This window comes from Homo sapiens, chromosome 18 (genome assembly GCF_000001405.40).
Source record: "Homo sapiens chromosome 18, GRCh38.p14 Primary Assembly".
NCBI classification, from domain to species: domain Eukaryota; kingdom Metazoa; phylum Chordata; class Mammalia; order Primates; family Hominidae; genus Homo; species Homo sapiens.
The window spans coordinates 23,536,923-23,551,612 of NC_000018.10; the positions used below are offsets into that span (position 1 = coordinate 23,536,923).

General features: G+C 44.1%; 1 protein-coding gene across 10 annotated transcripts in view, besides 1 other annotated feature; it reads right to left on the bottom strand.

Moving 5' to 3' along the window:
- NPC1 (NPC intracellular cholesterol transporter 1) overlaps nt 1-14,690 on the bottom strand; it is an 80,323-nt gene that overhangs the window by 30,739 nt on the left and 34,894 nt on the right. For all 10 annotated transcript variants that reach the window (XM_005258279.3, XM_005258277.1, XM_017025787.2 and 7 more), the window contains exons 11-20: nt 11,084-11,186; nt 8,038-8,227; nt 7,422-7,604; nt 6,533-6,647; nt 4,384-4,511; nt 4,146-4,286; nt 3,526-3,615; nt 2,889-3,079; nt 2,433-2,548; nt 1,620-1,749 (exon numbers count right to left, since the gene is read on the bottom strand). In XM_005258279.3, the coding sequence (XP_005258336.1) occupies nt 1,620-1,749; nt 2,433-2,548; nt 2,889-3,079; nt 3,526-3,615; nt 4,146-4,286; nt 4,384-4,511; nt 6,533-6,647; nt 7,422-7,604; nt 8,038-8,227; nt 11,084-11,186 (1,387 nt within the window). The remainder of the gene's footprint in view (nt 1-1,619; nt 1,750-2,432; nt 2,549-2,888; nt 3,080-3,525; nt 3,616-4,145; nt 4,287-4,383; nt 4,512-6,532; nt 6,648-7,421; nt 7,605-8,037; nt 8,228-11,083; nt 11,187-14,690) is intronic.
- Nucleotides 5,356-5,405: an enhancer, noted in NCBI's record as "active region_13163". NCBI's record gives its function as "activates an Ori minimal core promoter by ATAC-STARR-seq in GM12878 lymphoblastoid cells {active_cell/tissue: GM12878}" and the evidence as "EXISTENCE:reporter gene assay evidence [ECO:0000049][PMID:35858748]".

Below are 14,690 nucleotides of genomic sequence, written 5' to 3' on the forward strand. Positions count from 1 at the left end.
TATCAGCAGAATCTGAGCACTTGAGGCTAAGCAAAATCACCTGACCCTGGACTCAGAGGTCAGACCCAGCTGTACATTTCAGGGATGAAGAAGGCCCCCAGATAAGGGAACACCAAAGGTTTAGCTTGTTCTCTCCCAGACTGGCTTCTTTTTTTTTTTATTTTGAGACAGAGTCTTGCTCTGTAGCCCAGGCTGGAGTGCAGTGGCGTGATCTCGGCTCACTGCAACCTCCACCTCCCGGGTTCAAGCAATTCTCCCTGCCTCAGCCTCCCGAATAGCTGGGATTACAGGCACCTGCCACCACGCTCAACTAACTTTTGTATTTTTTTAGTAGAGACAGGGTTTTGCCATGTTGGCCTGGCTAGTCTTGAACTCCTGAGGTGATCTCAGGTGATCCGCCCACCTCGGCCTCCAAAAGTACTGGGATTACAGGTGTGAGCCACTTCGCCTGGCCAGATGGGCTTTTCTCGATTGCTCTGGGTTCTTTGGTACATAGCTGCTGTTTCTCCACCTGGTTTCATGTATAATCAAAGGTACAGGGTTTACTCAGTCCTGTTGTGTAATAGGAAGCAGGAAAGGGCAAGGGCCCTGGGAACAACCTCAGCCCTGCCACTTACTGGTCATGTAACCCCGAGCAAAATGACCACCTCTGAGCCCCAGTCTCCTCTTCTGTAAATGGGTATACCACCACCTACTCATAGGCTGCGTGATGAGAAATGGAATAATGTCAGGGAGTGCCTGGCATGACGCTGGCACCCTGGAGGCTCCCCAGGAACGGTGGCTACTGCCTTCAGAAAAACTGAATCTACTTCAACTTATTTTACGTAGGCCAAAGCATCCAGTCAGTGAGTAAATCAAGCTGCAAGATTCATTTCTACTTAACTTTTAGGAGGAGTCATCCCATGATACCTCGAATAGGTCTCAAAGCACATGCATGATATAAATGATTCACTGATATGACTCTGGTCAGATGTATGTTCTTATGAAAAACCTAAGTTCAGGGTTTACCTAACATACATGGGGATACTCATCTTCCACCTCCCAAAGCTTCCAAATCAAGGCCAGAGACTTCCGGTCATCATCACTATTTTTGGGCCATATATCTGGCTTCCGTGGGTAACTGGCTGCCTGGCTGGATGGGGGAGTGAGATAGCCCATAACCCTATACATGGATGGGCTGGCAAGGAGCATGACGAGGCTAAAAGAATCGCAACCTTAATGTGGGATAATGTTACTAAAGCTAAGATCACGCCCCAGCTGCCATCAGTACAAGTGAACAGGCCAAGTTCCTTCAGGCCTGGATTACCAGCAGGCCGTCCTCTCCCTCAGCCCCGCTTGGAATGTGCACAGGAATCTGCGTTCATTCTCATGCCCAGGGGGCCAGGACACAGAGAGAGCATGAGATGTGAATGCCCACGCTAAGACAGAATCAGTTGAACACTATGAGGCATTTTCTTAAAAAGGTGTTTTCGGTTTTCCTGCTTCCACCAAAGGACCAGGACAGGGTGGGGCGGAGAAGAGACGTTCCCATGCAACTGTCTTAGCCCAGTCCTCTCCTAGTTTTCTACTGCAAATTAAAGTTGCAGTGGATGCTTATCTGCAATGGCAGCAGCACTTACCCTTTGCCACACTTGGGGTTAGGGTTATCCGAAAGGAACATGGGCAGGAATCTCATGAAGTCTCCCCCCTGAGGCCTCTGTTTGCCTTCCGGAGTCAGAGGCCTGCAGCGAACGCAGGCAGGGTCAACCACTGGCGGAGACATGCAGGGAGGACTGTTAGAAGAATAGGTCTCCAGATTTTTTGTAAAACATTTTAAAATACTGACAGTGAGGGGCATTACTTTCTTCTCTATCGATTACTTTCCTTACTAGTGAGGGATAATCTTTCCCCTTATCTAAAAGCTTCAGCCACATGTCACTTTCACAGTTTAATGAATCTGAAATACCATTTTCATCTTAGGCATACTATGCATCATTTTCTGCCCTGAAGTAGATCTCCTCCTTCAAGTATGGCCTTGACTGGTCAGAGCCCGGGGCTTCTATGTTTTTATTAAGAAAATTCCAGGGCAACCTCGACGCTCCTACAAAACCACAGGGTAAAGTGATAAAGAAAAGCCCTCCTCTGAGAAGCTAAGGCCAGATACCAATCCTGAGAGGCAATCGCTGGAGTTAGAACAGGATGAGAAACCTTATGTGGAAACCACACTCCGAACATGTGGACCTTGTTCAGCTTGCAGCCCCGAGGGTGGCTGTCTGAGCCAGGAACAACATGACAATTTCAGAATGAATGACTGAGGAAAGGAATGATGACACAGGGAGACCCAGCTTTGATATACAAATAGGTATAAACTGAGGCACGATGCAAATGATTTTTAAATGATAATTTGAAAATTTTTCAGCAAAACAGGAAAGATTTGGTAAAGGAGAAGGTACCTGAAGCATTGCAGAACTGGTCAGTGATATTGTCCACTCGACAGCAAGACGACTGTGGCTTCACCCAGTCGAAATAATCGTCGATCCAGGACGAGGGGGCGAAGCCTATTCGGGTACTAGAGAGGACAGACAGGGTTACTGACCTGCTCCACAGGGAGGAAGTCTTTAGTTTCAGTACTTTTTCTTAAAACCTAACTTCCTTTTCTACGTTTTATACTGCTAACAGTCAAAAGAAAAACTACATGAGCACTTAATGAAAAAAGCCTTCAAAGTATTAGGTGGTAAATTAGTCCTTTCAAAGGTTTTTTAAGGTAAAGCCAGATTTAACATACATTTTGCATAAAAACAACTTTTCCAAGAAAGTCTATTTTCAGTGAGACATTTCAGGCCTGAGCTGACTGCCTGGCTGAGAGCCTCCTCCGCTGCTTCTGAAGTACAAGACAAGGTGGTACTGACTAGTTGTCCAGCTGCGCCGCGTTAAATATCTGCTGCACCAGGGAATCATTGTTGCAGCCCATGCCGCCGCACACCATGTTCTGCCCCTTGGAAGAAGTGTAGTCGTGCCCTTCCTCCAGGACAAAGTACACAGGCGGACCCGCATGCAGGTACTGACTGATGGATTTGAAATAATCCACCATGTAGGAGTCCTGAAAGAAAGATAAAAGAATAGGAGAGAGTGTGAACACTCTGATAGTAACTAAGCAAGGCGAGGATCATGGAGAATAAGAGGGTGCCAGGAGGTTCCTGGCTGAGATGCCTCCAGCTGGACTCATGATTCCTAACACCACCAGTCTTCCCCCCAGGGCCCCAGGGTGCTCCTCCTGCTAGCCCCACAATCAGGAGAGCATCTCATAAAGTAACCTCATAAGACTAGTTATTCGTGTTCTGCAGCTGTGCCCAGAGGGGCTCAGTCAGAATGCCAGACAGCCCACACCAGCAGTGCACTGCGACAGTTCTCCTAACCCTGGAAACCCTGTCACCATTTGCAGTTAGAAGCAGGCACTTGCTTGAAACACCTACGTGCATGTTTTGAAAAATGTATTCATCATCAGCTAAAGAAGTTAAAAAAAAAAAAAAAAGGAAGTCATCTTACATCTGGCATCGAAAGAGACTGATCCAATCCAATATCTACTTTGTTCAGGACTGCGATGCTGAATGACAGAACACCCACAAATATTGCTATCTGGAACAACAAATGAATCATAAGACAGAGACTGCTTAGTAAATAAGCTTACGACCAGAAATAAAATCTTAAGCACACACAAAAAGCAGGATTTTTTAAAATGGAAAAGCTTAAATGACAGGCTAATAGGGAGTACAGGGCAGTGGGTGAGACCACAGCACCAGGAGTCCAAATTCCTGGGTGCAAATCCTGACTCTGCCACTTACGGGCTGAGTGACTTGGGGCAAACCACTTCACCTCTCTTGGCTTCTATTTCCTCATTATTAAGAGGAAAAATAAAAGTTTCTTTGCAACTTTCTGTGAATCTGAAACTATTTCAAAATAAAAAACTTAAAACTCTTGTTTATATGGACTGATAAAAGCTCACAGGAAAAACATTTTATCTACTGTTCCACATTTGCTTTTGCTTTTTTTTTAGATACATTTTAACAGCTTTAAGAATCTCCTTCCCAGGCTGTCTGGCTTCTTAGAAGGCATGTGATAATCTGTTTCAGTGAGAGGAAAGAGAAAAACCACAGATAAGCGCATACCACAATTGGTCTCATCCAGTCCTTTAGCAGAAGTGGAGAATAGGAGTTTTTGAAGAAGCGAAACAAACAGCTCTCTGAGGCCTGGACGCTTGTTCCATCTTCAGCACCTCTGACACAGCAAAAGATGTCTAGCCGATTTTTCTGAGGGGACAGAGGGAAACAAAGGTTATACCCGCTAGCTGCTTCCTCTAGATTCTAGACTCAAATTAAATAGACTATAATCCTGGCACCAACTTACCTCTTGACGTTTAATGTCTAACCCCAAGAGACTCACGAAACAGGTAATCTGCAGAAGAAAGTCAATGAAGACTGCCAATCCCGCAAAGAGAGAGAAGGTGTGCACGGCTGGCATCACGGACAATGCTCCTGTCGGGGAGAGAAGGGCTCTGCGTCACTTCTGTTTACAGCCGGGGGCTCTCTGCAGGTCTTATGTTCATGTGCATGTACAGATACAAGGAGCCAGCACAGGCCAAACGCATGAGAAGGCATGCTGCGGCTGGACATTACACCAGAAGTGGGACAGGAGGTGATAAGCCAGTGCTTTTCAAAGCACACTCAGCACCAGACCATTTGGGAAGCCCCATCCTAGTTATGACAGGAATTCAACCCCAATTCTACTATACTCAGGTTCACAGCAAATTCACACACATTAAAATTTGAGAACCACTAATACAGGCCATTTCTTATAGTACTTTCTGTGCTTCACTGTAAGAAATGGACAGTATTTTCCATTTATTACATCAACACTACTAGCCTCCCAGTTTAGTTAAGAGGTAATCTACAATCGAGTGAGGATCAAAGGCATGAGGGTAAGACTTGGAAACTGCAAACTGGCAGCCCATGAATCAGATGGTTCCTGTTTAGCCCACACTGTATCAACCCATCTTAAGATTAAAAAACTTTTTTTTATAAGTTGCCAATATTTAACAATGGCATTTTACACAAAAATCTAGATTCACAGCTTTGCTTGGAAGAAAAACAACAACAACAACACAGACCTTGTAGCACTGGGTTGGCCACACACATAACTGTCTTTTTAGATAGGACACGTGCAGTTGGGGTGCCACAATCCCTACTCACTCCTACTGTCCCAAGGTCACTCCAACCTTGAGGCACAGTCTCTGCTGCTATTATCATCACACTTGCACTGGTTTTCTTATAATAGTAGTGAAAAAAAGAAAGTTTTTTCTTTTTTTTTTTTTTTTCTGCACCTGTGTTTGTCAAAAGGAACTACAGGGCTACAGGTTTCAAAAGCACATGGCTTTGTGGAGATGAAGAATAACAAGCTAGCAGTGTATCTGTGGTGAAAGACTACCACCTACAATGACCTTACAATGGCCCTGATTAAGCTGACCTCCCAGCCATGTAGGCATTGCAGTTTGTGGCCCGTGGATGGTCTTCTTTGGACTGAGTGATTCCAGTCCAGCCTCCCCTATAGTGGACAGAGTCACTTTGCTCTTACTACACTTCAGACATGGGGCAGACAGCCCCACTAGTGGGTCTATTTGATGATTCTCTATGTGAAAGAAACACAGAAGTGCTGACTTTGTTCCAGCTTATTCTGGCTCCTTGTAATGTGGTGAGTCAAGAGCTTCTGGTCATTAACAAGGCTGCTTCCCCAATGAGTTGTGTGCACAGAAGAGAAAGACTGCCTTTGAAAACAACGGCAAACATCTTGTAAGCGAGTGCCTGTGGATTTGGGAGCTGCTGCTTAGAGTGTCATGTGGAGAAGGATTCAGTGGCTACTCAAGGATGCCATTTTCAACTATCAACATTCCCAGTGGCTACTAAAAGGGGAAAGTGGCAAGACGAACTCTAGGTCTCTTTCACCCTGAACCCCAACATCAATGCTGTCCTGACAGTTAAATGAGAAGGAAGCCACTTGCAAAATCACACCTAAGTTACTGCTGCCAATTTTTCTGTGGTCCAGTGATACTTTCCCAGTGCAGAACAAAGCTTAAAAAAAGGAGACAACACGGGCTGGGCACGGGGGCTCACGCCTGTAATCTCAGCACTTTGGGAGGCCGAGGCAGGTACATCACCTGAGGTCAGGAGTTCGAGACCAGCCTGGCCAACATGGTGAAACCCCATCTCTATTAAAAATGCAAAAAATTAACTGGGCATGGTGGTACGTGCCTTTAATCCCAGCTATTTGGGAGGCTGAGGCAGGAAAATCGCTTGAACCCGGGAGGCGGAGGCTGCAGTGAGCCGAGATTGCACCACTGCACTCCAGCCTGGGTGGCAGAGTGAGACTCCGTCTCAGAGAAAAAAAAAAAAAAGAAAAAAAAAAAAAGGAAGCAACACAAAGGGACATGTTCAGGTAGCCAGCTCCTTCTTTCTCCAGGCTCAGCAGACTACAGGACTGGTAGGATTGAAAGCATAATTACCTAAGAAAAATGCTACAGTCTCAGAAAAGGATGACAGGAACATACTGGGAGCCACTTCTCCTAGGACCCTGCCCAGCTGCTGATCCAGGGTTTCCCCTTGAAGACGTTCATCTCTCTTAAAAAAAAAAAAAAAAAATTATGCGACATTAAAATTTCTCAATAACAACGCCATTTCTTGCTGCCTTGTGTTAACTCAAGGGTAAAAATAAATGATTAGTAGACGATTAGCAGTGTCTTCTAAGCATATAAACTTCGGTGGGGGACTCCAATGTTCTCAGAGTATTTCTGCACTACAGAGCTAGGTACCAAGTGAGAAACTAAAGGGAAAGCTGAGCCAGCCACATTATCAGGAAAACACTCGGAACACAGGCGGCAGGGGACTGGACCAGTGAACATCACTCTCACGTGCACTGAGTCTCCGCCCACGTCGGGTCTACAGGACGACTGAGACCACCTTCTACAGCAGCGGGACACGTGTTGACCTTTTGCCTTTTTAGTGGCACCTTTGGGCAAAATGAATCTAACATTCTATACTATGCTGAACATCATTTTAACAGCAGTCGTACCCAAAATCTTTTCCAAAAGTGTGTTAGCCCTTCTTGTACACATGATACTATTTAAAATGAAAAGATACTATTAAAAGACACTATTTAAAGATACAATTTAAAACACAATTCTTACTTTATATCTACTATTTCAACAACCAAAAAGAGGGGTGAAATTCTTGGTCCTAAGATGTCCACAGCAAGTCAAGACGACCGATGAGCCACACAGGGAAAGGAAACAAAACACCCTCACAGGTCACACTCACGAATGCGGAGCCCAGGAGCCATTCACAGTCCCTGAAACTTGAACAGATGCTGAGCCCTGTGAGAATATGGAAGTATACCTGGTAGGCCTGCACCAGAATGAAGATGTTGTCCACTCCAACAGCCAGCACCAGGAACGGGATGACTTCAATCACAATGAGGGTCAAGGGCAACCCAATGTAGCTGAAGACACCCAAGGAGCAAGCCACCGAGCTCAGCACGATCAAGATGCCCGCGATGCCTAGTGAGACCTTCGAATCCACCTGAGAGAGGCGACAGACACAATCACCAATTAGTTACAGGGTTGTCTGTCCCACTTGTTACTAAAAGGTCCTCCTTTTTACTTTACAGGGCTGTATTAAACCTAGAGTTGAATGTACAATTCTGTGTTTCAGAGAGGACTTGTAAACATTTCTAGGTCTGCTCGGGCAACACATGTTATGAGTTTGCATTCTTAGGTGATGGACTGGACAAATAAGAAAAAACTGGATTATGTGAAATAAACTTTAAGATAAACCAAAAAGTTGGAATGAAGAAAATAGATGTAGGCAACAGAAACGTTACATACAATTAAAACATGGGGGAATTTATGGCAGTTTTAAACATAATGGAATAAGAATAAAGAGGCAAAAATATGACGTTACACTGTGCACTGCTGTTAACCTCTAGAACATACACCACCCCCCCCCGGCTTACCAGAAGCCTGCGACAGCTTTTCATGTGCCCCAAGGCTAGGGAAATATATAGAAACATGATGGCATAGCTAATTACAACGGTGAAGACATCACTGTCACTTTCACGATTTAGTTCATCTTCAATACTTCGTTCAGCAGTGAAGGAAATGGTCAGATTGGGATTCTTGTAGTTTTTCACAAAATTAATAAACCTAAAAGGTAAGCAAAATGTTATATTTTTAGTTAAACTAACTGACAGCTAAGTAAGAAACTTCTCCCTAACTTTCACGATACAAAGGCCACGTTTTCTTTTTTTTGGTTTTGAGACTGATTCTCGCTCTGTCGCCCAGGCTGAAGTGCAATGGCGCAATCTCAGCTCACTCCAAGCTCCACCTCCCGGGTTTGAGTGCTTCTCCTGCCCCAGCCTCCTGAGTAGCTGGGACTCCAGGCGTGCGCCACCAGGCCCGGCTAATTTTGGTATTTTTAGTAGAGACAGGGTTTCACCATGTTGGCCAGGCTAGTCTCAAACTCCTGACCTCAAGTGATCCACCTGCCTCAGCCTCCCCAAAGCGCTGGGATTACAGGCGTGAGCCACTGTGCCCGGCTCAAAGGCCATGTTTTCTTAACCTTTATCCTGCATTAGGATCCTTTGTTTGCTTTTGTTCCTGTTTTGAAATAGAGTCTCTCTCTGTTGCCTCGGCTGGAGTACAGTGGCACTATTACAGCTCACTGCAGCCTCGAACTCCTCAGCTTAAGGGATCCTCCTGCCTTAGCCTCTTGAGTAGCTGGTACTACAGAGACGTATCCCCATGCCTGGCTAATTTTAAAAATTTTTTGTAGAGATGGGGTCTTTGCCATGTTGTGCAAGCTGGTCTCAAACTCCTGGCCTCAAGGCATTCCTCCTGCCTCCACATCCCTAAGTGCTGGGATGACAGGCACCATGCCCAGCCACTGCATTAGGGTCTTCCACACTGGAGACTATCAGATTACAGCTAAGGTTCCATACATGCTGAATTAAAGTAAGTTTAGGGCTGGGCTCAATGGCTTATGCCTGTAATTCCAGCACTTTGGGAGGCTGAGGCTGGCAGATCACCTGAGGTCAAGAGTTCGAGACTAGCCTGGCCAACATGGTGAAAGCCCGTCTCTACTAAAAATACAAAAATTAGCCAGGCGTGGTGGAAGGTGCCTGTAATCCCAGCTACTTGGGAGGCTGAGGCACGAGAATCACTTGAACCTGGAAGGCAGAGGCTGCAGCGAGCTGAGATCATGCCACTGCACTCCAGCCTGGATGACACAGCAAGACTCTGTCTCAAAAAAAAAAAAAAAAAAAAAAAAAAAAAGAAATGCATTCAGTCTACTAAATCAAAACCACAATGAGATACCACTTCACACCCATGAAGATAGCTAGAATCACAAAGTCAGATAATAAAAAGTGCTGACGAGGATGCGAACGAATTGGAAGTTTCATGGACTGCTGGTGGTGACGTAAAGCGCTATAGCCACTTTGGAAAACAGTCTGGCAGTTCTTCAAACTATTCAAGGTGGACTTACCCTATGACTCAGCAATTCTACTACTAGGTATGTACCCAAAAGAAATGAAAACTCACATCCACAAGAACTTGTACTCAAGTGTTCATAGCAGCATTATTCATAATAGCCAAAATGGAAACAGCCCAAGTGTTTGTCAGTTGATAAATGCACACAATGTGGTATATCCATACAATGGAATGAAAAGGAATGGAGTACTGATACATGCCACAACATGAATGAACCTTGAGAATATTATGTTCAATGATAGCCAGACAAAAAAGTCCACATATTATTCTATGCACATAAAAGTCCAGAATAGGAAAATCTCCAGAGACAGTATTTTAGTGGTTGCCTAGGGCTGTGGATAGGAGGATGAAAAGATGGAGGGTGTTAGTTAAAGGGTACAGAGTTTTATTGTGGAGTAATGAAAATGTTCCTAAAATTGACTGTGGTGATGGCTGCACATACACGTGAATATAGTAAAGCTACTGAATTGTACGCTTTTTTTTCTTTTTAAATTCTCTTTTTTCTTTTTTTTAGAGACATGCAAACATTGCCTAGGCTGGTCTTGAACTCCCGGCCTCAAGTGAGCCTCTCGTCTGGGCCTCCCAAAGTGCTGGGACTACAAGTGTGAACCACCATTCCCAGCCTGAACTGTATACTTTAAGTGGGTGAACTGCATGATACATATACCATATCTCAGTAAAACAATTTTTTAAAAGTACTGGAGGGCATAAAGTGCAACCTGGCCTCCTAAGTCCTCTCTTCCCATTCTCTAGAGGTCACAAACACAGTTAATTTCTGAGGTCATTTGCTTGATATTTTTTTCTAAGCATGGACAGCAGCATAAACAATATATATTTATACAAATATACATCATGGACCATTTACTTCACTGTCTTTTATGACAGCACAATATTCTATTGTATTCATTCCTTATTAAATACATTCAGCATGCTCCCAAGTTTTGCTGTTAGAAAACAATGCAGGTGGCTGGGTGCAGTGGCTCACACCTGTAATCCCGGCACTTTGGGAGGCCGAGGAGGGTGAATCACCTGAGGTTAGTAGGTCAAGACCAGCCTGGGCACCATGGCAAAACCCTGTTTCTACAAACAAATACAAAAATTAGCTGGGTGTGATGGCATGCACGTGTAGTCTCAGCTACTCAGGAGGCTGAGGTGGGAGGATCACTTGAGCCTAGGAGGTTGAGGCTGCAGTGAGCTGAGATTCAGTCACTGCACCCCAGCCTGGGCAAAAGTGAACCCAGTCTCAAAAAATAAATGAAATAAGTAAAAACAATGCAAGGAACCTTTTTTTGCACACTTTTGCATTCCTGTGGAGGGAGAGCTGTTTAAAGCACCTGCTCAAAGGTAAATGTGTTTACAGTTTCTTCTTAGCATCATTAGTACCAAGTGAACAAAACTACGTAACTCAGATCTGCCATTGGTTAATTTAGAAAATGAAGTTTAAGTGCTTGCCGCAAGTGTCTAGCTTCCCACAATGCAAGGACAGTCTGCTCACACCCATGAGTGACTCACTCTTTTTCCCAGGCCTGGGCCCTCTGGAGCTTCTCTGTATCATTATAGTAATTATTGACAGGGAAGGTAATCACAAGGGCAGTGGCGTTATTGTAGTTTTGATCTAGAAAGGAAAAATGTGACATCAAAAAGCAGATTACAAGCATGCAGAAAATTAGACACATACCAGGGGAAAAATCACAACACAGATTTCTCACTGGAGCTATGGACTGTATCTCTGGGCTCTAAGAATTAAACAAGAGTTTGCTGAAATAGTCTTTATGTACTTCAGTTAATGAATAAAAAGGATTTTTTATCTGAGGTAGGCATGGTTATCATTCAGGAAGAGTAACTCTTTTTTTTTTTTTTTTTAAAGGATACAGTACATGCATGTTAACAATTTCAAACAGAACAGAAAAGTGTTTATCGAAAATTCTCTCCTTCTCCAACATCTGTTTCATTGTCTTAGTTCTCCTCCCCATACTGTGACCATCTGCGAATCTTTCCAGAGCCACTCCACACACACACAAGCAAACACACAGATTCTTCCCCTTTCCCTCTTAACCACACAAACAGTAAAATACTATTCTGCACATTACATTTTAAAATTTTGTATCTTGGAGACTGCTCCATAAAGAGTTTCCTTATTCTTTTCCTACAGTATTTTCTGGTATACTTTAGCCAATCCCCCCCAACTGATGAGTAGTTTTGCAATTTTTTCTATTACAAAGTTACTATAAATAGCCTATAAATATTTTAATGTGTAAAACACATACTTGTAGAAATAAATCTTTTTTCTTTTTTTGGGGTGGGGGCCTGACAGGGGGACAGTGTCTTGTTCTGTTGCCCAGGCTGAAGTACAGTGGTGCAATCGCGGCTTTTTGTGGCCTTGACCACCCGAACTCAATTAATCCTCCTGCCTCAGCCTCCCAGTAGCTGGGACTAAAGGTGTGCACCACCATTGCTGGCTAATTTTTGTATTTATGTAGAGATGGGATTTTGTCATGTTGCCCAGGCTGGACTTGAACTACTGGGCTCAAGCAATCCTCCTGCTTTGCCCTCCCAAAGTGCTGGGATTATAGGCATGAGCCACTGCACCTGGCTAGAATCAATTCTTAAAGCATAATCAATGAATCAAAAACTATGTATATTTCCAATTTTGATAAATTCTCCCAAACTGCCTTCCAAAGAAGCTTAACTATTTTTCATTCCTTTTTTTCTTCTTTTTTAGAGACAGGATCTCACTCTGTTGCCCTGGCTGGAGTGCAGTGGCACAATCATGGTTTACTGAAGCCTTGACTTCTCAGGCTCAAGCAATCCTCCTGCCTTGGCCTCCCTTTTCATTACTTTAGTCAAGAAAATATTTACTGAGGCTGGGCGTGGTGGCTCATGCCTATGATCCCAGCACTTTGGGAGGCCAAGGTGGGTGGATCACCTTAGGTCAGGAGTTCAAGACCAGTCTGGGCAACAAGGCAAAACCGTGTCTCTACTAAAAATACAAGAAATTAGCTGGGCCTGGTGATACATGCCTGTAATCCCAGCTACTCAGGAGGTGGAGGCAGAAGAATTGCTCGAACCTGGGAGGCAGGGGTTGCAGTGAGCCGAGATCACACCACCGCACTCCAGCCTGGACAACAGAGCAAGACTCTGTCTCTGAAAAATAAAATAAAAACCTTTTTTTTTTGTATTTCTTCTTTTGTTATCTTTCACATGACCTCACCCACTTTTCTTTCAGGTTGTTGATCTTTTTTTCACAACTTTTTTTTTTTTTTTTAAGACGGAGTCTTGCTCTTGTCGCCCAGGCTGGAGTGCAATGGAATGATCTTGGCTCACTGCAAACTCCACCTCCAGGATTCAAGTGATTCTCCTGCCTCAGTCTCCCGAGTAGCTGGGACTACAGGCACACACCACCACGTGTGGCTAATTTTTTTTGTATTTTCAGTAGAGACAGGGTTTCACATTTTGGCCAGGCTGAGATGAGATCTTTATTTATTAAGAAAATGCTGACTGCCATGCATACTAATATTTTTGTCCAGTTTTTTTTTTTTTCTGGCAAGGTCTCGCTCTGTCACCCAGGCTGGAATGTGGTGCAATCTCGCTTACTGCAGCCTCAACCTCCTGGGCTCAAGTGATCCTCCCACCTCAGCCTCCCGAGTAGCTGGGACTACAAGCATGCACCACCATGCCCAGCTAATTTTTGTATTTTTTGCAGAGACGGGGTTTCTCCATGTTGCTCAGGCTGGTCTCAAACTCCTAGCTCAAGTGATGTGCTCGCCTCTGCCTCCCAAATTGCTGGGATTACAGGCATGAATAACTCTCGGCCCAGTTTTGTTTTTTTAACTGTATGTTTGTTCTCCACAAATGAACATGTACTCAACTTCATCAGTCTTTCCTTTTCGGGCTTCTGAGTTTTGTGTCTTGCTTAGAAATATCTTTTCCACTTAAAAATTATTTTTAAAAATGCCTCCTGAATTTTCTTCCAGTTCTTACATTTCTTTTTTTTTTTTTTTTTTTTGAGATGGAGTCTCACTCTGTCGCCCAGGCTGGAGTGCAGTGACTTGATCTTGGCTCACTGCAAGCTCTGCCTCCCGGGTTCACACCACTCTCCTGCCTCAGCCTCCCGAGTAGCTGGGACCACAGGCACCTGCCACCACACCCAGCTAATTTTTTAAAGAATATTTTTAGCAGAGATAGGGTTTCACTGTGTTAGCCAGGATGGTCTCGATCTCCTGACCTTGTGATCCACCCGCCTCGGCCTCCGAAAGTGCTGGGATTACAGGCGTGAGCCACCACGCCTGGCCCAGTTCTTACATTTCAATCTTTTATCCATCTGGAATTTATTTTGGTGAAATGAACAAGTCAGAGATCAAAGTCAATTGTTTCCCCTATGGCTAGTCAGTTGCTGACACCATCCCTTCTCCAACAATTAGAAATGGCATTTTCCTCTCTGATGCACAGTAAATTTTAAATACAGATTGCAACTTCTCCCCTGCCACCAAGTGAGGAGAAGAAAACCTATCTGGATTCTTAACTGGTTGGGCAAAACCTGTTGAGCCTGTAATTTGGCTTAAGATGCCAAAGGTGTCACATGAATAATCACCTCATTTTGTCAAGTACAATTGGTTCTAAAGTGCTACAGGAACCAGGAAAGAGCAAACCAGCTGCTCTTCACACTGTAAGAGTGTCCAAATACTCAACTGACTGGCTTAGAAGAAAAAAAATCCATCAACTTTGTTTCTTTTTCCACATACCTCACATACTATCTTTTCTCTATCACAGAGGCTCTTACCTGAGGTCCATGAGCTCCCTAGAGGGTCTATAAATGAACTTCGGAGGCCCATGACCTTCAAGCTGAACAACAATGCAGAGGTTTGCAATTGCATTATTCTGGGGAAAGGTACTTAGCCTTCGACAGCTTCTCAAAGGCATGTGTGACCTAAAAATGGCTAACCCAATCCACTTCTTTTAAATCTGGAATGAAACCCAAACCCAAAGCCAAAGGAGATACTATTCTGGGATTCAAGAGGTAAGAAATTAACAAAACTGCCCAATTTATGAAATCTTCATAATTACCACTTGATGCTAATGACAAAACCGAGATGACTTTATCTAAAAGGAAAAGTCAAAG